This window comes from Homo sapiens, chromosome 4 (assembly GCF_000001405.40).
Source record: "Homo sapiens chromosome 4, GRCh38.p14 Primary Assembly".
Lineage (NCBI taxonomy): Eukaryota > Metazoa > Chordata > Mammalia > Primates > Hominidae > Homo > Homo sapiens.
The window spans coordinates 37,689,007-37,715,551 of NC_000004.12; the positions used below are offsets into that span (position 1 = coordinate 37,689,007).

General features: G+C 41.0%; 1 long non-coding RNA gene across 1 annotated transcript; it reads right to left on the reverse strand.

Moving 5' to 3' along the window:
• Nucleotides 1-16,402: 16,402 nt before the first annotated feature.
• Nucleotides 16,403-26,080, reverse strand: LOC105374404 (uncharacterized). The gene is made up of 4 exons (XR_925210.1): nt 25,865-26,080; nt 22,551-23,058; nt 20,372-20,486; nt 16,403-16,481 (listed from the first exon to the last, which is right to left on the reverse strand). It is a non-coding gene; the product is annotated as an uncharacterized LOC105374404 (long non-coding RNA).
• Between the last annotated feature and the right edge of the window lie 465 nt (nt 26,081-26,545).

The window sequence follows — 26,545 nt, forward strand, 5'->3', positions numbered from 1 at the left end:
GAGGAAGAGAGGGGGAGGGACGGAGGAAAGTGAAGAAGGGAAGGAGAGAGGAAAGAAAGAAAATCAAGCTTAAATTATTTTCCATATCCTTAACCCTACAGATTTATTCATACAATTTAAATAGCTTCTACATATGTATATCTAAAAATCCACTGTTTTATTTTAAAAGTAAGAACCCCAATGTAATGGAACTTCTATTCTCTATTATGAAGGGAATGTCATATTTCTTCTGAGGACATAAAATGGAAATCTTAAAACTAAGTTGTATTTCCATTTTTTCAGAAACAAAAGTAGAGTTTTAATAATTCTTAAGAATAACTGTCATTAATTAAAAACAATAATCCTCATTCTGCCCTTAGATTTAGCCCAATCCTATGGTGGGAACTCTTTTTGTATTCTTTCATCAATTCCTCACAATGATTTTATATTTAGGGAATCATTGTTAACACTCCTCACTTCAAAGCTGAGGGATTAGGGCATTTACCTGAGTCACATGGCCTCTCCCTGGCACCACCAGGATGCAAATCCAGGATCAGCTCCCTTGGGCCCACACTTGCAACCTCCTCTTGCACTATTCTGCCTCTGAAATGCAGAACTCCAGCCAACTAGCTCCTCTTTTGCAATCTAAAGTATTGTTCTCATATTCCTTCATTGCATGTTTAACCTAGCCTTTTTGAACTCTGTTTCAACAATTGCTTACATATTTTTCCTCAGTGAGAATAATTTATTGATTGATGGGAATGGATTAAAAATCAGAGTGTATAGGATCAAATTTACAAACATATACAATGTGATGTCCTTTCTGATTTTCATTGTTTTCAGTTTCTCTGTAAGGATTCAGTTAATCATTCCCCTTAGTAGAAACCTTTCCTGTTTTCCTCTGAACTGCTAAGCTGGTGATTTTCATCACCATCATTTAAATGCATAAGCCTCACTAGGCTGGTATTTACTCTAATTAATGTTGAACATGCTTCCGCAGAAGGCCTCTGTAGGATTTCTTTTGTGATTTAGATGTACTCATCTCTCTTTTTGAGAGGTTATATGCAGGAGATAAGCTTACATTTCTTTTTAAAAAATATGTCTGAAGGGGAATAAAATATTTTACACAATCTGGGGCTATTTTGATATGACAACAGATATGTGCTGTGTTCCTAGTACTGGGCTGAGCATGAGGGGTTGGAGGGGAGAGTCACTACAAGCTTAAGAAAAAGATTCTAACTTTGCTTTTAAAGTTTTAAGCCTACCTGGGAGAAAGGGAACTGTTGCATAAGTGAACAGAAATGGCTGGCCAGGCGCGGTGGCTCACGCCTGTAATCCCAGCACTTTGGGAGACTGAGGCAGGTGGATCACGAGGTCAGGAGATCGAGACCATCCTGGCTAACACGGTGAAACCCCGTCTCTACTAAAAATACAAAAAATTAGCCGGGCGTGGTGGCAGGCATCTGTAGTCCCAGCTACTTGGGAGGCTGAGGCAGGAGAATGGCGTGAACCCGGGAGGCGGAGCTTGCAGTGAGCCGAGATGGCGCCACTGCACTCCAGCCTGGGCAACAGAGCAAGACTCCAACTCAAAAAAAAAAAAAAAAGAAATGGCCAACAGCCCAGGGGTCAGGGGACACAGCCCTGCCAAAGATTCGCTCACTCTACTCTCTGCAGCTTCTTTTGGGTTGGTCTTCCAACCTATAAAATACAAGGATGATAGGATGATTTCTAAAGGTTCCCATCCAGCCCTAAGATTCTATACCATAATGAGTAATCAAATGATAGGGGTGCTAAGTCAGGCTAGACTGCAAGGTTTCTCAACACTGTGGACATTGTTGGTCCAGTAATTCTTTGTTGTGGGGGACTGTTGTGTGCACTGTAAGATGTCTAGCTACAATCCTTGACCTTTACTGACTACATGCCAGTAGCTCCCACCCCAGCTGTGACAACCAAACATATCTCCAGATATTACCAAATGACTCTAGGGAACAAAATCACACCCAGTTGATAACCACTGAGCTGGAGAAATCCCAAGAAGATCAAAAGAATTGTACTGGAAGCTCTTGAGCAAGGTTTCATGAAAGAGGTGCATCTTGAGCTGGGTCTTAAAGGACTGGGATTGATGGAGAGATGAGAAATGTGTATGAATGTATGTACAGTAAAAGAATTTGCATGGTACAGACTGCAGACTGCACAGTCATACATATGCATGAGGAAAAGAGGAGGATGGGTCAGCAATAACTGTGGGTCACAGCCAAGCATAACAGTCGACAAAAGGAGAATGGAGAGCTTCGATTGCCCAGGAATTTGTCATACTTTATAATAAATAATTTTATCGCCAAAATAGATTTTTTAAGGGATAATGAGAATAATTTCCATTGTTCAATTAAATGTATTCCATCATAAATTAGGAAGCCTCAGCTGGGTGCAGTGGCTCACTCCTGTAATCCCAGCACTTGGAAGTCCAAGGCAGGAGGATAGCTTAAGGCCAGGAGTCTGAAACCAACCTGGACAACATAGCAAGACCCTATCTAAAAAAAAAAAAGAAGCTTCAGAAAAGTAAAAATCAGAGGAATCTAATCGATAGCAATGGTGTTCCTAATCTCTGTCCAATTACCTGGATCACCACATTGAGTTATGTTTCATGGGCACATGGTCTCCCAAAAATTACAAATAAGTGATTCAGACCATTTGCGACCACAGCCTCAAAATCAGGTGCATATAACACTGATACAGTTGTTCTCAGTAAAGAGCAAGAGAGAATTACAGTAAGAAACTGTGTGGTTGGGACCAGTGAAACCCACAAATATACATTTCAGAGGATAAACTATTAAGTGCATAGTGTTTGTCTTAGACAAGCCTCCTTTTGATCACAACCAACAGAAACCTTAACAGTAAATGTAGTATAAGGATAAAGCACTCTCACAGATATAAAGAAGGCCAGGCCTGAAGCCCTCAAGCCAAGACCTCCCATGGCTGCCTCAACCCACACCCCACTCAGCATGACTTCCACAAACTGGCTATAGATCGGCTTCCCTCAACTCAGGAGAATATGGGGCTGCCCAGCCAGGGACTCTGAGTTTAACTGTTCACCCTAGACAAGGATGTCGGACATGGTCCTCTGCTGACTGATAGGTTCTATATAGGAAAGTATCATGGAAGCCAGTAGAATCTATCAAGAGTTTTCTGGGGAAAGAAGTGATCATCAATGTCAGATGTATTGAGGAGTTTAGTAAAATAAGGACCAAAAAGTTACCCAGCAAATCAGGCAATGTGGAGTTACCTGAAGACCCTTGTGGAAGAACATTAAGCTGCATGATAGAGATGGAGCCCACCTGAAAGGCCAAGGTGGGAGGATCACTTGAGCCCAGGAGTCTGAGACCAGCCTGGGAAACATGGTGAAACCCCAACTCTACAAAAAGTACAAAAATTAGCTGGGCATCGTGGTGTACACCTGTATTCCCAGCTACTCAGGAGGCTGAGGTGGGAGGATTGCCTGAGCCCAGGGAGGTCGGGGCTGCAGTGAGCCATGCTCATGCCACTGCACTCCAGCCTGGGTGATAGAGTGAGACCTTGTCTCAAAAAAAAAAAAAAAGAAAAAAAAGAAAAGAGAAAAGAGAATTCTCTTTCCAGAAACTTGGCTGAAAGAGAACAGAGAAAAAGTCATACGGAGGACCTTGGCAGTCAAGAGAAGGTTTTTATGGATTGAAGTCAATTTTATGGGACAATTGGAAAGCACATGGAGAGAAATATGTGAAGAAATCAGAACAAGGAGAATAACTAATGTAGCAAGATTGAGAGGAACTCAATGATAGGATCAAAAGCATAGGAGTTGTTGACTTCAGACAAAGACAAACATTTGATGCTCTGAAATGGAAGGGAGAGGCAAAAGAAGGGCACACAGGTATAGATTTGTAGGTGGGAAACAGAAAGTTGAGAAAGTTCACATTAATAGAGGCAAAATCATTGCTATGATTTGAATGTCCCAGCCAAAATTTATGTTAAAATTTAGTTGCCATTGTGATGGTATTAAGAAGTGGGACCTTTAAGAGGTGATCAGATTGTGAGGGCTCTGCCCTTAATAATAGATTAAGGCCTTTATCTCAGGAGTGGGTTAGTTATTGAGGGAGTGGGTTCCAGATAAAAAGGATGAATTCTGCCCAGTTTCCACTCTGTCTCCTGTGTTCACTTACCTTCTGCTTTCTGCCATGGGATAATGCAACATGAAGGCCCTCACCAGATGCTGGCGCCATGCTCTTGGACTTCCCAGTCTCCAGAACTGTGAGACAAATAAATTTCTATTGTTTAGAAATCAGCCACTCTATGGTATTCTGTTATAGAAGCTGAAAATGGACTAAGGCAGCCATCTGACAATGGAATAGACGGGAATGGTGCAGGGGTTTTGAGGTGACTATGTTAAGGCCCCCAGTAAAGGTGTCTGGGTTGTGTACTGCACAAGAGCGCCATATATTAACTTATCCCAGAATGTGAAGGCCAGAATCTCTGGTCACAGAAAAGCAGAAAATATACTCCTCCTGAATATAAGCCCACAGTATACATAAGGCCATGCGTATACTTGGAAAAAGTATGTGTCCTGTGTGAATCACGTTCCAAGCATCCCCTGAAGTTACTGCTCCCACACTCAGAGGTCTGACTCATGTCTACCAGACTCCAACCTTGCTTCTTTTTCCCTGTGGCAGGAGGGTACAGATAGCACAGTATATACAAGCTACTGACACTGTGGAAACCAAACGTTGGGGAGGGGGGCAGGTTGTTACAATGTGGGCACAGAATGTGTGTAAGAATGTGTGTGCAGCCAAGGAAGCTTCCCACAAGGACCCTGGAAATCCCCCCCAATTCCCCCTACCGCAAGGTCAGAGCTGTCTAGATTGAGCCACAATATCATAATAAACTAAATGGTGGAAGGGGCACTTTTTGCCAATCCTCAGGGCCCCTGAGAGTTGTAAGGATTTGAATGATCACTGAAGGGAATGGGAGAGCTGTCCAGCATGTGCACTGCTGTGCATCATGGAGGGTATAGCTGGGACTGCAGCCCATGAATTTTTCATGGGCCAATCTGCAGGATTGAGTGATGCTCTGTACGCATACCTGGAAACTCAGAGGTAGAAATGGAGAAGGCAGTTTAGGAAATAGATCCATGGTTAGGGTTTTTCCAGGAAGGAGCCTGATATTCTAGAGGCTTTTCAAGGAATTTCGTGGTTTTGAAGGATAAGGGGTTCAGGTGTTGAGCTTCAGGATAGGCTGGTTAGGCCACAAAATGACTGATTTACTGAGAGAATTTGGAGGGTCTGGTAGTCTGTGAGGTGTGAGATCGGGATAGTGGGAAGGAGGGTATGAGAGAGCTGAACCTTTCTCAACCTAGTCCTTGCTGCCAATGTCTTTGGAACTCTTGAGAATCTCATATGAGCCATTCTGTTGCCAAGGCGCAGGTTAATAACACAACTTCTCCTCTTCTTCCTTTCAGCATTGCCAACAAGTTAGTCTATTTGGATAGCTTCTTAGTTCCTGCTACTACAAAATCTGTCCCTTTATAGGGGACAATCTTCTCATTCCATCCTGGGTTTAGCATGGACCATCACATCCCCACAGTTCCCACCACTGTGACACCAGGAGGACAACATATGGGCCCTTTTATATTAAAGGATTTCCCGAAAACCAGAGAGAAAATAAGAAAAGAGGGAACATTCAGAAAACTACAGAAGCTTACAAAGTGTTTGTCTAGTCTAAGCCAGATTATAACTACAGGAGTTACATGAGTTAATGGCATGAGTTTTGTGTAGGTGAAATAACTATGTGTTATTTCTACAAATAGCAATATAATGCCAACCATGTAAGTGATTCCAAATTTTCTGGTGGCCACATTAAAAAATAAGAACAGGTGAAATTAGTTATAATAATAGATTTCATTTAATCCTATATATCCAAAATACCATTTCAATATGTGTATTAGTCCATTTGCATGCTGCTGATAAAAACATATCCAAGACTGGGCAATTTACAAAAGAAAAGGTTTTAATTGGACTTACAGTTCCATGTGGCTGGGAAATGTCTCACAACCATGGTGGAGGGCAAAAGGCACTTTTTACATGGCTGCAGCAAAAGAGAATGAAGAAGAAGCAAAAGTGGAAACCCCTGATAAACCCATCAGATCTCGTGAGACTTATTAAGTATCGTGAGAATAGCACAGGAAAGACCAGTCCCCATGATTCAATTACCTCCCCCTGGATCCCTCCCATGACACATGGGAATTCTGGGTGATATAATTCAAGCTGAGATTTGGGCGGGGGCACAGCCAAACCATGTCAACATGTAATCAAAATATTGAAATTACTAATGAGATATTTATCATTCTTTTTACCATACTATGTCTCTACCTGTGACTGTCCCTTCTTATCCCACAACCATGGCAGAATGCTCCTATGATCTTACTTATAGTAGGCACTCCTTTGCCACATCCTCCCTGGCCCCTAGCCCTTGGTTGCCTACAGGGTCACATTTATCTATTTAGCTAGAAGTAACCTCAGCGTCTAGCCTCTGGGTAGCTCCTGTCCATGCAGGATCCAGCTTCTCCCTTTCAGGCAACAGACACTTGCCTCTAACATATTTGGGTTGAAGAAGGTTGGTCTCTTGGCCACCATGACTCAGCCCACTCTGCCAGCTGTTTATTCATGGTCAACTGGCTGCTAACTGCTCTCTGGATGTAGTTCTGGGGTAGCCACTGTGGCCTCACATGGGTGGCTGCACTTCTCTTTGTTGCCCCTCCCCAGACAGGTACAGTTGCCCCCTTCTTCCCCTGCTACAACATACTGACAAAAAGGAGCTGTGTGTAACAGACTTTCCCTGATGATTTGGCCAATATCATCTATAGATCCCTGGTCTTAACTTATCTCTTTATTGTAGCCCTGCTTCTCTCTCTCTCTCTCTCTCTCTCTCTCTCTCTCCCCCTTCTTTCTCTTTCTCTCTCTCTTAGAATTCTAAGACCTTCAACATGCCTCACCATCAGCCCACCTTCCCCAAAAAAGACCCTGAAAATTTTTATTACTTTATTGTGATATAGAGGATCAGCTGAGCCTATTCCAGATTGCAAAAGTTTTAACCTGGAGTCCGTGGACTCCCAGGGAGTCTGCAAATTGAATTTAGGGGGGTTGTAGACTTGAGTAGAAAAAAAAATCACCTCTTTATTTTCAATAACTTCAACATGAAGTTTGGCATTTCCTTTAACTATGAATGTAGGCAACAACCTCAGTAACATTAGCAGTATCTATGACACTGACATATGTCTATGTAGCTAGGACTACAGGTGCGCACAACCACACCCAGCTATGTTTTCTTTTGTTTTTTTGTTTTTTTTTTAGAAACAGGGTCTCATTTTATTACCTAGGCTGGTCTTGAACTCCTGGGCTCAAGCAGTGTGCCCGCCTTAGCCTCCCAAAGTGCTGAGATTAGAGGCATGAGCCACTGCACTCAGCTGACATTATTTAAATATAATTGGTTTTCTTTGTAATACTATGTATTTTATTTTATGCATAGGAAAACATGATTCAGAGATGAGATTCCATAGGCTATACTGACTGCCAAAGGGATCCGAGGCACATGCATACACACACACACACACACACACACACACACACACACACACATTTAGAGCTACCTGTCTAGGCCTCTCTTTGCATAATCACACTCCTTGTGGAATTTTCCTATGCAAAGGTAACCTTCCCAGATGCTGCTTTCTCTGGAAACTGCTGCAAGTATAACCAAGGCTTGAGGAATGTAAGTAACTTTATCTAGCTAGCTATTTAATAGCACAGACCTATAAATTTATTCAGTGGGGATATTTCCTTCCTTGCTCATGGATGAAGTTTAGAGCAAGTCCCTTAATTTTCCTGGTAATAAATCTTTAAGGTAATAAAACTACTCCAGACACTAATTGAAACTCAAGTCCCCTGCAATACTTTAAAACTCTCTCTCTCTCTCTCTCTCTCCCCGCTGCTTGTGTCCCAGCACACAGTGTAGTGGATGCCATTGTGCACCGCCCACAGGGATGTCCCAGTCATCCCCCAGCTGCTGAGATTGGCCCTGATGGTTCTCAGTTGAGTGGCTCTCTGGAAATTGCCCTTAGTAAAAGAAAATGCCTCAGCCAAGGTCATACCTCTTCCCCAGGGACAGCCCTCATCCAATGGCTGGTTAATGGGCGTGAGGAAGTGTTGAGCACCCTCTTCCAAGGTCAGACAACTTAAGAAGGGCCACCCAGCTGCAGAACTGTCTCATAGGAAAGTCTGAGGCCTCTGTTACAGCTGCATTCCAGTTCACTGTCTCCTCTGCCCAATCCTACTCCCTCCGCCCCAACACACAGGTGTCAATCCACCAGGCACACCCTAACAAATCTATAAATCTTCTTCTCACCATCTTTATCCTGAAGAAATCGGCCTTTTTTTCTCCTTTTCTGCCAGGTTTTTCTTATCCTCATTCCCCACCTTGCCAACCAGTTTTGGTTTTGATGTTGTTTGTTTGACCTTCACAGGCTTGGGTTGTGGGGGAAAGAGAAAGAAAAAGAGACAGAAAGTTATACTTTGGTACCCTCATCAGAGATAAATGGTATTGGAATGTGTTAAAGGCAGAATTTTTTTTTTTGAGACAGAGTCTCATTCTGTCACCCAGGCTGGAGTGCAATGGTGCAATCTCAGCTCACTGCAGCCTCCATCTGCCGGGTTCAAGCGATTCTTATGCCTCAGCCCTCCAAGCAGCTGGGATTACGGGTGCCTGCCACAACACCTGGCTAATTTTTGTATTTTTTTTAGTAGAAATGGGTTTTCACCATATTGGCCATGCTGGTCTCTAACTCTTGACCTCAAGTGATCCTCCTACCTCAGCCTCCCAGCTTACAGGCATGAGCCATTGCACCAAGCCAAAAGCAGACTTTTTTCTCCTGAGAATTCTTATGGTTTTTTGGAGACATCTCTAGATCTTCCCTGCCCTCCCCCTGCCCACTGCCCCTTTATCCCTGGAAATCTACCTTCCTCTATTCTCTTTAAAGAGAAGGAACAGGCTGGGCATAGTGGCTTACGCCTGTAATCCCACACTTTGGGAGGCCGAGGTGGGTGGATCACAAGGTCAGGAGTTCGAGACCAGCCTGGCCAATATGGTGAAACCCCAGCTCTAATAAAAATACAAAAATTAGCTGGGCATGGCGGCATGCATCTGGTAGTCCCAGCTACTCGGGGGGCTGAGGCAGAAGAATCGCTTGAACCCAGGAGGCGGAGGTTGCAGTGAGCCGAGATAGTGCCACTTGCCTCCAGCCTGGGCGACAGAGTGAGACTCCGTCTCAAAACAAACGAGAGAAGGAACATCTGCTCTGCTGGCTCTTCACATCTTCTACAGACTGTGGACACCCAGTGCTACCTCCAGCTTCTTTCTCCTAAGGACTGCTTGCCCCTTCAGGCCGCCTCATAGATAAGCCCTTCCACGCTTGCACCACAGGAAACATTCTTTGCTCCAAAAATCTCTGGAATGGGCTTCAGAAAGGAGATGACCCTGAGGGAGGAAAGCATGTGGGTTGGCGTGGTAGGCAGCATAGTGGCCCCAAAGATGCCCATGTCCTAGTCTCTGGAACCTGTGAATATATCAGCCTGGGTGAAAGAGCGAGATTCTGTCTCAAAAAAAAAAAAAAAAAAAAAGAGGGAGGCAGAACAGTAAAGTCAGTCAAAGGAGCATGTGAATATGAAAGAAAGACACAGAGATGTGATGCTGCTGACTTCAAAGATGGAGGGAAGGGACCATGAGTCCAGGAAGATAGAAGGTCTCTGCAAACTGTAAGGACAAGAAATTGGATTTTCTCGGCCAGGTGCGGTGGCTCACGCCTATAATCCCAGCACTTTGGGAGGCTGAGGCGGGCGGATCACGAGGTCAGGAGATCGAGACCAGCCTGGCTAAGACGGTGAAACCCCGTCTCTACTAAAAGTACAAAAAAAGTAGCCGGGCGTGGTGGCAGGCGCCTGTAGTCCCAGCTACTCGGGAGGCTGAGGTAGGACAATGGCGTGAACCTAGGGGGTGGAGCTTGCAGTGAGCCGAGATCACGCCACTGCATTCTGGCCTGGGGCGACAGGGCGAGACTCCGTCTCAAAAAAAAAAAAAAAAAAAAAAAAAAGAAAAGAAAGAAAGAGAAAGAAAAAAAGAAAAAAGATTTTCTCCTAGAGCCTCCAGACAGGAGAGTACCCTGGCCATGCTTTGATTTTAGCTCAGGGAGACTCGTTTTAGGCTTCTATCCTACAGAACTGTAAGATCATACATTTGTGTTAAGATGCTACGTTGTGGTAATTTGTTACAGCAGCAATACAGAACCAGTGCAGCAGGGTAACTCAGCCTCCACACAATGGTTCTTGGAGGGTTAGTAAAAGAAAGCTAGTTCTCGAAGGGTTATTGAAGAGAGCATAAGACTGCAAACTTCTTGAACCCAGCCCCACGGGCCCTACATTAGAAGTAAAGTCTGGGCAAGTACACATGAATTCAGAGCTATATATTAATATAACCTTTGAGCAACTCCAATGTGATGCTTAGAGTCTAGACCAGCCAGGGATCTCAGGAGTCCTGGAAAAGCATCCCCAACTTTCAAAAGGTCCAGTCATCATCACTACTGCAGGGACCAAGATACAGAACAGGTGCACTGACCAGACCCTCTCTCCTCTCTTCTCTTTCTCCCAGGGGATAAAAAGTAGGATGGTCCCTGTATCGTGTCAGCCTATTGATTGGAGAAACATCATAAGCCTACAAATGTTGAAGCTGTTTATATCTGTCACTGTATTTCTGGTATTGAACACAGTGCTATGCACTCACTACGCACTCAGTTAATGTGTGGACTTTTTCTTTTTTCTTTCTTTTTTTTTTTTTTCTTGTAAGACTAGTTAAGTGCAGTAGTGAGAAGGAAGGAAAGAGTAGAACAAGGAGTGCAATCGTAACCAACTGTGACCAGCTGAGATAACTCGCTACCTTTAGACCAACCTCAGTAAATGTGTTGACATAGTGTCTTAGACTTCCCTTGTGATATGAATAAGTTCAACAGTCCTGCAATGAGCCATGTGAATTTAAATGGCAATCTAAGCCAAGATCATTATGGCAAGTCTCGGGGCAGTAAAGAACAAACAAATGGTGCCTCTTTCTCTAATGAGCCTTAACTTAATATCTCAGTTGGAAACATAATAGTAAGATAAGCTCCAATTTTCCCAGCAAAGCTGTGTATTCAAAATTGACATTGGCAAACTTAGTGCAGTTTGTTTTAACTCTTGCTCCTGTAGCTGAGGACTGTCAGAGGTGATAAGGAGTTTGGTCCTGGCCATGAAGGTACAAAATAGTAGATGAAAACGCCACTTGGGGAAATCTGTTCCTGGACCTTTCTTAAGCAGTTGGTATCTAAATTGTGGGAAAATGCAGAATATTGTGAAATGCATCAAACACTGTCTCCACCGGGAGATTCAAATGAAAACTTTAAGTTATTTGATCATCTAATGACCTGAAGGTGACTTGGCAGGCTCTCAATGGATGGTAAGGGCTCTTTGTCTGGTCTGTAGCACTTTCCATGCAGTCTAACAGATGCTCCAAGCCAAGATGATTTTTAGGATTGTGACAGGGGTTTGCATTCATCAGGGTGTTGGGCAACACTGCAACAGGGATAACATTTGCTTTTAGTGCTTTTTCATATTGTTTAACTCACTTTCTTCCAGTCCTTTCCCTGCCTACCCTCAAGAAGTGTCTCCATCCCTCACCCCTCCACACTTCTCCTTCACTGCATAAAATTGTGCCTTCTCCAGCTCTGCTGCCCAAAAGTCAACACTGCTGCTGTCAGCCAGATGAAATGTGCTTCACTGACTGACTGTCAGTCTTCCTCATAAGTATTCTAATTTTCACTAGGAATTTAACCTTTAAATCCACCTTTAATTAAAAATATTCTGAACTATCAGACCCAGTAGATAACTACAAAGCATCCATGTATATAATATAGTCATGGAAAAGAAGGTTAAGCAAAACTATGTAGTTTGATATATTACAATAAGCTAATATTTAAGCACTTATACATGAACATATTTAATTTGTCTTTATATAAACCCAGTTGTATATGTGTCTGTACATTAAAATATATCTAAAATGCAGAGTATGTGAGATTAGAGTTCATTTATAAAATTGCTGTAATTTCAATTTGGCCGATTCATCTGCACAATGATAGGTAAGTACTGTCTGAATGTTAAGAAAAGGCTTGAAAAAGTGAAAAATCAGATTGTCCAAAATCACCTGTAAAAAAGTTAAGATAGTGAATTTTAAAATAATCAAAATTAAGTACAGAAAATGACTTTTTAAATAACTTGCTGGTTTTTAATTCAACAAAGCTGTGAGGTTTTGAACTAGCTTGCTTTTTATGCCCTGACATTTTGATTTTTCTGTGTTTGAACCTAGTTCCTTACTGCAGTCTGCAGATGGCCTGGTATAGTGAGGTTGGCTTTAGTATCACATTCTTCAACAGCTCCAGTCCACAGACTTATTTTCTGAATCACACTTATTAGGTCCTTCATGGAAACTGCTAGCCAACCAAGTGCTTTTTTTTTTTTTTTTTTTTTTTTTGAGACGGAGTTTCACTCTTGTTGCCTAGGCTGGAGTGCAATGGCACACTATCTTGGCTCACTGCAACCTCCACCTCCCGGGTTCAAGCGATTCTCGTGCCTCAGCCTCCCAAGTAGCTGGGATTACAGCCGTGCGCCACCACACCTGGCTAATTTTTTGTGTTTAGTAAAGACAGGGTTTCACCATGTTGGTCAGGCTGGTCTGGAACCGCTGACCTCAGGTGATCCACCCGCCTTGGCCTCCCAGAGTGCTGGGATTACAGGAGTGCGCCACTGTGCCCAGCCCCATGTGCTTTTAATGCCACCAACCTTTTGGTTACCCATTAAAACAGAAAAGGAGGCCCCCCAGTGATCTGTTTTGTGCTTTGGATTTTACTTATCTATCTCCTCCAAACCTCAAACATCTACATTTTAAAAAATGTTTTTCCTCTGTTAACTAAATAATACAAGCTCTTTTAAAAATTATGGAAAAATAGAAAAATCACCACAAGTTAATTGCTAAAAAAGTACCATGTTGAGTATATTTTGGTATCCTATTGTGTCTGTGGGGTTTTTTTGAACTAATATTATAGCATTAGCACTTCCTCATGTCATTAAATGGTCTCCAAAAACATGATTTTAATGACTGTAAAACATGAACCGTTCTCTTAGAGCAGACATCAATATTAATTCTTATACTAATGCCAAGAGAAACAGCCTTGTTCATTAACTGCATACCTACATTTTAAAAGACATATTTCTAGAGGTAGTTTTAAATACTCTTAGTGCTCCCCTAGACAGAAATTGGAATAAAGGAAAACCCATTTCAATCAAAACTTAAGCCAGGGTGCACCGTAGCTCTTTCTACTAGCTGGACCTTTAAAGCAGTTCTGTGCTAAAGAACTTTTTGTGATAACAAAATGTTCCTTATCTGCACTAATATGTAGCCACCAGCCATGTGTGGCTATTGAACATTTGAAATGTGACTCATGAGAATGAGGAACTGAATGCTACATTTTATTTAGTTTTAATTAATTCAAATCTAAATGTAAATAACTACATGTGGCTAGTGGCTGCCACATGGGACAGCACAATGGAAAATAGCAGAATATATCTGAGGCTGGGCGCAGTGGGTCACGCCTGTAATCCCAACACTTTAGGAGGCCGAGGCAGGCAGTTCACTTGAGCCCAGGAGTTCGAGACCAACCTGGGCAACATGATGAAACCCTGTCTCTACTAAAAATACAAAAAGTTGGCCAGGTGTGTTGAGCACCTGTAGTCCCATCTACTCAGGAGGCTGAGGTGGGAGGATTGCTTGAGCCTGGTAAACTGAGGCTGCAGTAAGCCGAGATAGCACCACTGTACTCCAGACTGGGTGATGGATTGAGACCCTGTCCCCACCACCCCCGCCAAAAAAAAAGAATATATTTGGTTGTACCTGGGGTTTACCAAGTAATACTTTTAAAAGCATTTTTGATTTAAGTGCAAAATCTACACTCTCCCTAATAATGGCAATTGCAGTTTTAATTTTTTAATTTTTTTAATTTTTTAGCTATAGCGCCTACCCATTATTTAGCTTAATGATAGGCTTTGATGAATGGCAGTATACAAATAGTATCCAATAACCTAGATATCTTATACCTTTTCAGATATTGCAGTGATTTTAATTACCACAAAGAATCTGAAGACTCTTAAGAAATTATGTTTGACAAATACTAATTATGTTATTCAGATTTTGTGAAGTAGTTTCAGACATAATGGAAATATGGCACTCAGAACACCAGAGAGATTTGAAAGACATATTACTCCAGAGTATTCCTAAGTGTTCCACATTCTGGGCAGGAGGGGCGGGGTGGGGGGGAGTACAAAAGCAGCCTACTTTGTGGTTCTTAGTTCACATCTATAAAGAAGTTAAATGGGGTTTTGGTTCATGTTTGGGAAGAAACTCAGAAGTTGCACATTTTCAGGAAAAAACTGTCTCTGAGCTGTGATCTTACCTAACTCACATTTAGTTCAGATCTCCTCACCAACTCCTTCACTGCTGAGTCAGCCAACATCAGCAAAGGCCGCAGAAGCATCTTACATTCTCCCACTTGGAAGGCGCTCCCGGCCTCCTGCCTCCCTTGTCTTCAACAGGATGACATTTACCCATCTTCCAACTCCCTGAAGAAAGGTCACTTCCCCTGACTAATGCTCTCCTCTGTCACACAGACTGCTGCATTCCATACGTCTCACTTAATAACATTCATCACACTCCTCACCTCTTATTCAATATGTCTTCCAGAAATCCCTTGAGGTTGAGGACCATGGGCTGTGTTGTCTTCTTTGCTACATCTGCAGTGCCTGGTCTATACATAACAGGTGTTCTATAAATATTTAATAGATGCATAAATGAATTTAATCTTTGCAATCACCATAGGAGAAAAGAGTTTTCATTCTCATCGTGGGCGAGGAAAGTAAGGCAAGGAAAGTTTTCATCCTCATTGTGGGCGAGGAAAGTAATGATCAGAAACAGTATATCTGTTCAGGGTCTCACAGCTAAGAAGTTGGATGTGGGATATGAACCCAGTTCTTTTTTTTTTTTTTTTTTTTGAGATGTTAAGATGGAGTCTCAGTCTGTCACCCAGGTTGTAGTGCAGTGGCAAAATCTCGGCTCACTGCAACCTCCACCTCCTGGGTTCAATCGATTCTCCTGCCTCAGCCTCCCAAGTAGCTGGGATTACAGGCTCATGCCACCACACCCAGCTGATTTTTGTATTTTTAGTAAATACAGGGTTTTACCATGTTGGCCAGGCTGGTCTTGAACTCCTGACCTCAAGTGATTTACCCACTTTGGCTTCCCAAAGTGCTGGGATTACGGGCATGAGCCACCATACCTGGCCTGAACCCAGTTCTTTTGACTGCAAGTCCGGCACTCTTTTCATTACATGAGAGTTGCCCTCTTATTTTTCTTCTCTAGGTAGGCATTGAGCATTCATCTCTATATCCTTAGCCTAAGCTCTCCTCAGCTAAATTCATCCCTACACCTTCTGCTTTCCACCCAATAGCAGAACCAATTCAGATGCATTTTCTGCCATTTTAAAAGAAGGATCACCTTTACTCCAGTATCTAATAACATGTTCATTTCCTTCTAAGTTCTTACCAGAAGCATATTTAACATTCATATTTCTACCCACCATTTCTTCAAGGGGATCTACGTTTCCTTTGCATCAAGGATCTCAAAATTCTTGAGACCTCTACCAATTATCCAATTCTAAAGCTACTTCCACATTTTTATGTATTTGTTACAGAAGCACTCCACTTCCCAGTACCAAAATATCTTTTATTTTATTTTACTTTTATTTTTTGAGATGGAGTTTCACCCTTGCCCAAGCTAGAGTGCAATGGCGCAATCACGGCTCACTGCAACCTCCACCTCCCGGGTCCAAGTGATCCTTGTGCCTCAGCCTCCTGAGTAGCTGGGATTACAGGCACCCACCACCACATCCGGCTCATTTTTGTATTTTTTTATAGAGATGAGATTTCACCATGTTGGCCAGGCTGGTCTCGAACTCCTGACCTCAGGTAATCTGTCTGCCTCGGCCTCCCAAAGTGCTGGGATTACAGGCATGAGGCACCATGCCTGGCCCAAAATCGGTTTTAGTTTCTTAGAGTTGCTGTAACAAAATACCACAAACTGGGTAGCTTAAAACAAATTTATTATATCACAGTTTTGGAGAATAGAAGTCTAAAATCATGGTCTTGGCAGGGTCATGCTCCCTCTGAATCTTCTAGGAGAATCTTCCAAGCCTCTTCCAGGTTCTGGCAGCCCCAGGTGTTCCTTGGCTTGGGGTGGTGTAACTCCACTCTGCCTCCATCTTCATGTGACTGTACTCCTTGTGTGTCAGTGTCTCTTCTCTTTTTATAAAGATGACAGATCAAATTGAATTAAGGGTCCACCCTACTCCAGTGTGATCTAATCTTAATTAATTATATCTGCAATGATCTCGTTTCTAAAGAAGGTCACATTCTAAGGCACTAGGGGTTAGGACTTGAACATATCTTTTCGAGCAACACAGTTGAACCCGTGACAATATGTAAATCCAAAAATGCAGCCTATGTACACGGCTCAAACTCAAAATGAACACAGCCATATAACCAACACCTGGATCAAGAACTAGAACATGTCTAGCACTCCAAAGTCCTTTCCTTCTCTATTCCAGTCACTCAGCTCCACCGTCATAAATAACCACTATCTTATCTTTTAACTGAATATATTAGCTTTTTCTTTTAAGTATAATTCACAAACCATAAATCTTTAAAGTATACAATTCAGTGGTTTTCAGCATATTCACAAAACTGTGCAACCATCACTACTATCTGATTCCAGAACATTTTCATCACCCCAAAAAGAAAGTCTGCATTCATTAGCATTTATTCCCATCATCCCCCACCCCTCAGCACCTGGAAATCACTAATCGACTTTCTATTACTATCAGTTTTCCTATTCTGGACATTCACTTCATATAAATGGAATCAATTTGTGGCCTTTTGTATCTGGCTTCTTTCACTCAGCACAATGTTTTCAAGGTTCTTGCATGCTGTAGCATGTATCAGTACTTCATTTCTTTTTATGACTGAATGGACATACCATGTTTTCTGTGTCTATTCATCAGTTGATGGACATTTATGTTGTTTCCATATTTTAGCTATTATGAATAATGTTGCTGTGAACATTTGTGTACAAGTTTCTGTGTGGACATATGTTTTCAATTAGCTTGGGCATGTACTTAAATGCGCTTGTACCGTAATTATCCAGTAGAGTCCAAGGCTTAGGATAGATACCAATCAATAGATTGCAAGTTAAAAGCAACCTTAACCTCTGAAAAAGCTGGACTCCCCTACCTCAGGAAGTAACCTGGACACTTGGGAGAGTTGTACCTCTCCTGTGTGTGATACACATTGTCTCTTTACGTTCATCCTCCCAGCTAGTAAGTGATTACCCATTTTTCCACATCAGTGTCAGTACAGGAAACAGCACCCTACTCATGTGCTCAGAAAGCATCATACGGAGTCACAATAAAAGCTCATGTGCTTAAAATGATTTTAGACACTTGATTTTGAGGGAAAAAAACCACAGCAGGACAAAAGCACGCGCCTATGCTCGTTCTCTGGTGAGAATATCAAAGAAATAGAGAGTTAGCAAGATCCGCAGGAGTCTGCCCTATATACTTGACAGCAATGATGAGGACACAGCAATAGAGATATGCTTCCAACTCTCCCTTTCTTTTGCTTTCAAAAAAAATTTCAAAAGAATACATCCTCAGACAGATAAACAGATTCTTTGGTATGAATATATAGCATATAAAAGATAAAGAATAATAAAATTAATATATGTGTACCTACTAACCCAGCCGAAGAAGCAGAATATTTCCAAACCTTTTTTTTAAAAAAAATAGAGACAGGGTCTCACTATGTTGGCCAGGCTGGTCTCAAACTCCTGGCCTCAAGCACTCCTCCTGATTCAGCTTCCCAAAGTGCTGGGATTACAGGCATGAGACACTGCGTCCAGCCCACCAAAACTTTTGCAGTCTCTCTAACTTCTCCCAATGTATTCACCACACTGAATTTTGTGATAATATTTTTGTTATAATTTTACAACATTTGCATGTATTTTTAAATGCTATATTTAGTTTTGTACCTTTTGAACTTTATGTAGATAGCATCCTACTGCTTGTATTCTTCTGCCACTTGCTTTTTCACTCAACATTATGTTTGTAAGATTAACCCGCATTGAAACATTTTTCTTTAGTTTATTCACCTTCACTATTCCATTTTATGTAACTACTACAAATTATTTATCCTTCATGATATGAGACACATGGATTGTGTGCATTTTTTGCTTTTATAAACAGTGTTGTTATGAACAGTTGTATGGTAGGTACACCTGACAGCAATAACTTAAACATACCCTGTGTGGCAGATGCGCCTGACAGTGATAATTTAGCTGAAGAAGTCGGGGTTGCCACGTGGAGGTTGCTGGCGTGGAGGATGCTAAGACACTTTATAAACTGCATGCTTTTACAAGTGGTTGCAGTTCTGTCTAGCACAATGCCACTGGACCATCCCTATATGTAAGTTCCCCCTAATAAAACCCTATGTCTAGGTGCTTCATTAGCACTGTAGGCAGTTTGCCAGTCTCATAAAACTTTATGTCTTGTTCACTGGCTTCGCGTCTCTTCTTCAGCCTCTCAAAACTGGTGCCATCCCTACTGAAGTTAATAGGAGTCCAGCAGCACTGCATTCATATATATATATACACACACACATATATATGTACAGATACATACACACACATATGTACATATACATATACACACATATATGTACATATACATATACACATGTACACATACATATATACACACTTATATGTACACATACATATATACACACTTATATGTACACATACATACACACATATATGTACACATACATATACACACATATATGTACACATACATTTATACACACATATAGTACATATACATATATACACACATATGTGTACAGATACATATATACACACATATGTGTACAGATACATATATACACACATATGTGTACAGATACATATACACACATATGTGTACAGATACATATACACACATATGTGTACAGATACATATACACACATATGCACAGATACGTATATACACACATATATGTGCAGATACGTATATACACATATATGTGCAGATACATATATACACATATATGTACAGATACTTATATACGCATATATGTACAGATACGTATATACACACATATGTACAGATACGTGTATACACACATATGTACAGATACATACACATACATATGTACAGATACATACACCCATATATGTACAGATACGTATATACACCCATATATGTACAGATACGTATATACACCCATATATGTACAGATACGTATATACACCCATATATGTACAGATATGTATATGTACACCTATATATGTACAGATACGTATATGTACACCTATATATGTACAGATACGTATATGTACAGCTACATATATATGTACAGCTACATATATATGTACAGATACATATATAAGTGGAATATGCATTTATTTATTTATTTATTTTGAGATGGAGTCTCAGTCTATCGCCCAGGCTGGAGTGCAGTGGCGCAATATCGGCTCACTGCGAGCTTCGCCTCCTGGGTTCACGCCATTCTCCTGCCTCAGCCTCCCGAGTAGCTGGGACTACAGGTGCCCACACCATGCCCATCTAATTTTTTTGTATTTTTAGTGGAGATGGGGTTTGACCATGTTAGCCAGGATGGTCTCCATCTCCTGACCTCATGACCTGCCTGCCTCAGCCTCCCAAAGTGCTGGGATTACAGGTGTGAGCTACGGAATATGCATTTTTAAAGATACACATGTGCCCACACACACACAGAGGAATAAAACTGCTAGGCCATGAGGCGTTTTGATCTTATAAGGTAGTGAATGGTAAATTATTTTCCTAAGTGGTTGTGTCAGTTTGTACTACAAGTGCGTTAGGAGTTTCCACTGTTTTATGTCTTCACTGACTCTTGGTGTTGTCAGACTTCTTAATTTTGCCAGTCTAGTGGGTGTAAAATAGTATCTGTATCAGTTAGTCACTGTTACATATTAACTACTCCACAACTTAGTGGCTTAAACAACCATTTAATATTTCTCATTGGCCTGGGGTATGATGCACGGTTCTGCTCATCTGGGCCAGGCTCTGCTGATCTCACCTGAGCCGCTCATGACTTACAGAGAGTTGTCAGGTTAGCAATGGGCTGGCTGGTCTAGGATGGCCTCATGTTTGAGCTCTGTTCCATGGGTCTCTCATTCTCCAGTAGGACAGACAGTACAGACTTGTTCTCATTCTAAGGCAGAAGAGCAAAAGAAAGAGCAGAAACACATAAAGTGCTTGTACAAGATCTGCTTGCAATAAGTTTGCTATTATCATGTTGGATTTGGTCAAGTCTACAGTTAGTGAGGGAAGGAACTACCAGAGTTTAGGCACAGGGAGGTATGAAAAGTTGGGATCATTCGTACAGTCAGTTCACCAACGTGGTTTTAAATCGTATTTCCTTGGCTAGTATTGAGGTTGAGTATCTTTTCATATGTTTACTGGCCATATATATTTCTTCTTCTGAAATGCCTCTTCAAGTCTTTTGTCCATTTTATTTTATTCTATTTTATTTTATTTTATTTTATTTTATTATTTTATTGAGACAGAGTCTTACTCTGTCAGCCAGGCTGAATGCAGTGGTGTGATCTCGGCTCACTGAGACCTCCGCCTCCTGGGTTCAAGTGATTCTCCTGCCTCAGCCTCCCAAGTAGCTGGGATTACAGGCACATGCCACCATGCCCAGCTAATTTTTTTGTATTTTTTGTAGAAATGGGGTTTTGCCATGTTGGCCAGGCTGGTCTCGAACTGCTGGTCTCAGGTGATCTGCCCATCTCAGCCTCCCAAAGTGCTAGGATTACAGGCATGAGCCACCACACCCGGCCCTTTTGTCCATTTTATACGTAGATTTTGTCCTTTTTAGGTTTATTCAGAAGAGTTCATTGTTATTAATTTAAATGCTAATCCTTTGTCAGATACATTTGTGTTTCAAATATATTCTTTCAGTTTCTATCTTTCTTTTTACTTTTTGCTTCTTGGTATCTTGAAGAAAAATTTTATACTACAACCAATTCATGATTTTTTTCTTGTGTTTTTGAGGTGTGTTTTTTGTATCTTATTTACTAATCTTATTTTGTGTCTTATTTACATTTTTCCTATTCTAAATCATTAAGATACTTTCTTATATTCTCTTCTAATTTTTTTTAAGTTTTACTTTTCACAGTTTGGTCTCTAATGTATCAGGAACCGATTTTGTGTTTGTTATGAAAGAGATTCAATTTTCACTTTTTCCCACATGATAAAACAATTATCCCATTAAAAAACCAGTTGTACCATTGATGAAATACCCTTTTGCCCACTGATCTGTCTTCCTTGTTACAACAGCCACATATTGAGTTTCCATGTTTGTGTTGTCTGTACTCAAGCTTTCCGTTCTGTTCCACTGATCTCTTCTGTGCCAGCACCACATGCTTGTGTAACTGTAGCTTTATATGTTTTCATATCTATGATAGCAATTTTCCACACTTTTTGTTCTTCCAGAGTATCTTAACTATTCATGGAAATTTGTTCATTCATTTAAGTTTTAGGATAAGGTTATCAATGTTTGTAAAAAGCCTATAGGAATTTTGATTGGAATTGGAGTTTTATACAGATCAAATGTGGGGAAATCTGAAATCTTTACAGTATTATATGTTCCTTTCCACAAATATTATAAATCTCTCATTTACTTAGGTCTTCTTTTAGGTTTTTTGAATCAGTTTTTATAGTTTTTATCTCTAAGGGATTTGCTCAGCTTTGTTAGATTTATTCATAAGTTCCTTAATTTTCTTTCTGTGACTATTGTAAATTCTTTTTTAAAATGTATTTTAACCACCAGGTGGGGTGGCTCATACCTGTAATCCCAGCACTTCGGGAGGCCGAGGCAGGCAGATCACTTGAGGCCAGGAGTTCGAGACCAGCCTGGCCAACATGGTGAAACCCCATCTTTACTAAAAATAAAAAATTTTAAAAATGAGCCAGTCATGGTGGTGCATACCTGTAATTTCAGCTACTCCAGAGGCTGAGGCAGGAGAATTGCTTGAACTCAGGAGGCAGAGGTTGCAGTGAGCCAAGATCGCACCACTGCACTCCAGCCTGGGCAACAGAGTAAAACTCTGTCTCAAATTAAAAAAAAAAGTATTTTTACTATTTTTTAAACTGTCGCTGGAATAGAAATAGAATTTATTTTTATGTTGTCATTTGTATTTCTATAAAGTTAATCATGTTACTTGCAAATAATTATAGTTTTATTTTTTCTTTTCCAATCCTTATAGCTCACCTAATTTTGCTGTGTTGTTCTGGCTATGATCACTAGTACAATGTTGAGTAGATTAAAAGTAGTAACAGTGGCATCTTTATTTTGATTCTGATTTTAAGGAGAATGCTTCTCACATTTTACTCCCTTCTCTTTCTTCTTTTCTTCATTACACCACCGCTCCGATTAGTTGGCTCAGACTCCTGAAAAATGTACAGGAACCTAAACTGTATGATGTTTCTATTTAACAACTCGCTAATTTTCCAGTGTCTTCATAATTGAAAAGCACTCTTCTTTTTTTATCTGCATTGTTTTCATTCTGTTTAAGGTATGATTCTCTCCTCATTTAAGAGTGTAATGCTCTTTTCTCCTATGTTTTTGGCTCATTAATTATCTTACACTTCAAGGTTCAATTGTTTGCACAGCTTTTGTCTTTTCCAAACAACCAACTTTCGTAGTATTCTTACACTTCTTTTTATCTATTTGGTTAAGTAGTGTGACAATAGTGTCTTTCAAACATTTACATTTTTAACTAAGGAGATAAAAGGAAAAAGAAATGTAATATTTGTTACTTTCTATACATGCTTTACATACATTATTTCCATTTTAATCTACACAAGAATAACCTATTAAGGTAATTATTGTTCTATGTTTTATGGACTCTAAGATACACATTTGTTTATATTTTAACACTTCTGAATTAAGGATCTCTTACAATGCATGTGATAAGAAAGCATATTATCATAGTTTAATTAGCCACCTTTTCTTCTTCATGGTGCATAAAATAATGGTTTTTGTTATAAGTAATGGTGTACTTGATTTGATGAAATGTAGAATTGACCAATTTACAGATGAGAAATCTGGGACTCTGTTATGCCAGAAAATTTGCTCAAGATACACAGCTAGCAAACGGCACAGTTGAAATCTGAACCCATGTCTGTCTCACACCAAAACCTATGCTGTCTTTCAAAAGAGCACACATGATATGGCAATTAGCACATATTCATTAATTGTAGTTCCAACAATAGTAATTGCCGACTACCTGCTGATGAAGAGTGAACTCTGTAAAATATTTGAAGAGATTTATTCTGAGCCAAAGGTGAGGACCATGGCACAGCCCCAGGATGTGCAGAAAACATGTACCCAAGGTGGTCTGGCTACAGTGTGGTTTTATACATTTTTTAGGGAGACATAAAATTAATCGACACATATAAGATGTGCATTGGTTCAGGCCAGAAAGGTGGGACAGCTTGAATTGGTGGCAGATTAGGGGGTGGGGGAATCCAGGTCATAAGTGGATTCAAAGATTTTTCTGATTGGCATTTGGTTGAAAGAGTTATTATCTAAAGACCTGGACTCAATAGAAAGAAGTTTCTGGGTTAAGATAAGGAGTTGTGGAGACCAAGGTTTTATCATACAGATGAAGCCTCCAGGTAGCACGCTTCAGAGCTCTCATCAGACCTAAAAGCTGCCAGAATCCCCTTCCCTTTCCAGGTATTTTCCCTGATTCAGGAGAGAAGTAGTGTGAAATAGTATCTTTCAAACATTTAAATCTATAGATATAGATACAGTTATAGGGCCGGGAGTAGTGGCTCACCCCTGTAATCCCAGCACTTTGGGAAGCCGAGGCGGGGGGATCACCAGGTCAGGAGATCGAGACCAGCCTGGCTAACACGGTGAAACCCTGTCTCTACTAAAAATACAAAAAAATTAGCTGGGCATGGTGGCGGGCGCCTGTAGTCCCAGCTACTCGGGAGGCTGAGGCAGGAGAATGGCGTGAACCTGGGAGGCGGAGCTTGCAGTGAGCTGAGATCATGCCACTGCACTCCAGCCCAGGCGACAGAGCGAGACTCTGTCTCAAAAAAAAAAAAAAAAAAAAGATACAGTTATATATTTTCCCTATAAGAGACAGCTTTGCAGGACCATTTCAAAATATGTCAAATAAATATATTTTGGGGGAAAATATTTCTTTCAGAGCCTGCTATCTGTCATGCGATGCTCTACTAGAGTCAGGTTGGAATTTGGTGGCTTATTGCTACAAAGGTCTGTTTTGTAGTCTTAAGACCTCTGTTTCAACGTTAATTCTGGTGGTCAGTTGTGCTTGAATTCCAAAGGGAGGTGAGTATAATGGGGCATGTCTAACTCCCCTTCCTACCATGACCTCAACTCATTTTTCAGGTTTACTTTGGAATGCCCTTGGCCAAGAGAGGAGTCCATTAGTTGATTGGGGGGCTTAAAATTTTATATTTGGTTCTCATATCTTGCTAATAGCTTTCGTACATATTACCTAGTCTAATGACACACATTGTCTTTGATAAACATACATCTTTATCAGACTTCTTTATTAAGAAGCTCAGTTTAATAAATTACATCAAATGGGTTGCCAGTGTACCATTTAAAAATTACTCTTTTGTTAAAATTCATTCATTAATATATTTTAAATATGTGCTGGCCTTCTTTTCTGGTAACTGGGCTATCATAGCTATGAAGAAGATGAACGCGTTTCTTGCTGTCTTGGAGCTGACAGTCAAACTGATTAAATAATTCTGGCAACATTTCTTCATGATTGGGAAAAATTAAATTAAGTGCTATGAAACATTTGGTTAGCTGTGTAAGCTGAGGCAACCCAGACAGAACAGCCTGTATCAGAAGACACCAGCTTACCAACCTGACCTGTCCCAATGCCAAGCACAAGAATTGGTAGGACATTTGTTCAGTCCGTTCAGTTCAGGTATTAGCTGGCAGGAACAACACCTGGACTACCTAATTAGGACTAAACACATAATATGGAATAAGAATTACATATCGTTTACTAAGCCCTAATTTAAGTAGACACAGAGACAGCTGGCTTAATGGGGGAGGTTATCCCAAGAAATGCCAATAGGGGAGTAGGGAAGTGACATAGGAAACCAATAAATGACTATTTCCAAGCAAGTTGCCACTAGGTCTAACTAGAGATGAATCCTGCAGGGACCTATGGGGGACAGTGAAGAGCACATCTGAGTTTCCTGGTGAGAGGCAAGGGAGCTAGAATACATATCTGCCACCTCCTACCAGCCATTGGTTGGAGGCTACTGGACAATGGGTATGTGCTGTGTTAGAGAGGTGGTGGGGCAGTGATGGTTGCAGTGAATTCTCTAGCACCTTTGCATGTCCAAGAAAGCCCTAGGGCTTAGGCAAAAGGGTTGCAAATTCTGGCAGTTGCAAGTCTGGCAGGAAATAAGTGCTCAGAGGGGATATTAATGGAACTACCTATATATCCGCCATAACTACCGTTCTGTCCAGTTCTGATGTTCATTCCAAGTTTTCCATACTAATGAATGGAAAAAATCTTTCACCTGATGTGGTTGAAGGCTTATCTTCATGCCCCTTTAAACAAATGCTTTGGTGTATATCATTTGCTATTCCCTTTTCAGCTTCCATTGCCATTCAGGTTCCAGCTTGTTAGCCTTGCTGTGGTAACACCCTTGTATCCCGGCTTTTAATGTTATTGTGTAGAATTTCTCTCCATCTGAAGTATCTCAACATCTTCACTGACTGAATGCCTAAGGAGGATTGTTATCCTCCAATGAAAAACAATCCTTGTGAAATGCTTGCACAACTACCACTTTTCCCACAATCACTTTACTGGATTTGCTCTTGCAGTGTCAGCAGGAGGAAATTTATTACACCTACCCTGATTTGGGGCGGGGAAAGAGCATCTTTTGGATTGGAAGAAATTTGGAACTGGCTTTTCTCTCTTTGCAGAAGTGATTGGTTCTCCAACCCTTCCTCTCGGACACTAAGAACCATCCATCCTCCCCAGCTCTAGAACCTGAGGGTTTTTTTCCTATTTAACTCTTTCAGCCGTGAGTAAGCCATCTCTAGGCTTACTTTTTAATATCAGTTTTAGCATTTAATCCTATTTTAGCATTTAATCCTATATTTTCTGGAGAGATGGTATAACATAAGATTCCAACGGTAGGCTCTGGCATCCAATTCCACTGGTGGAAATTCTGGATCCCCACATCTCTGTGGCC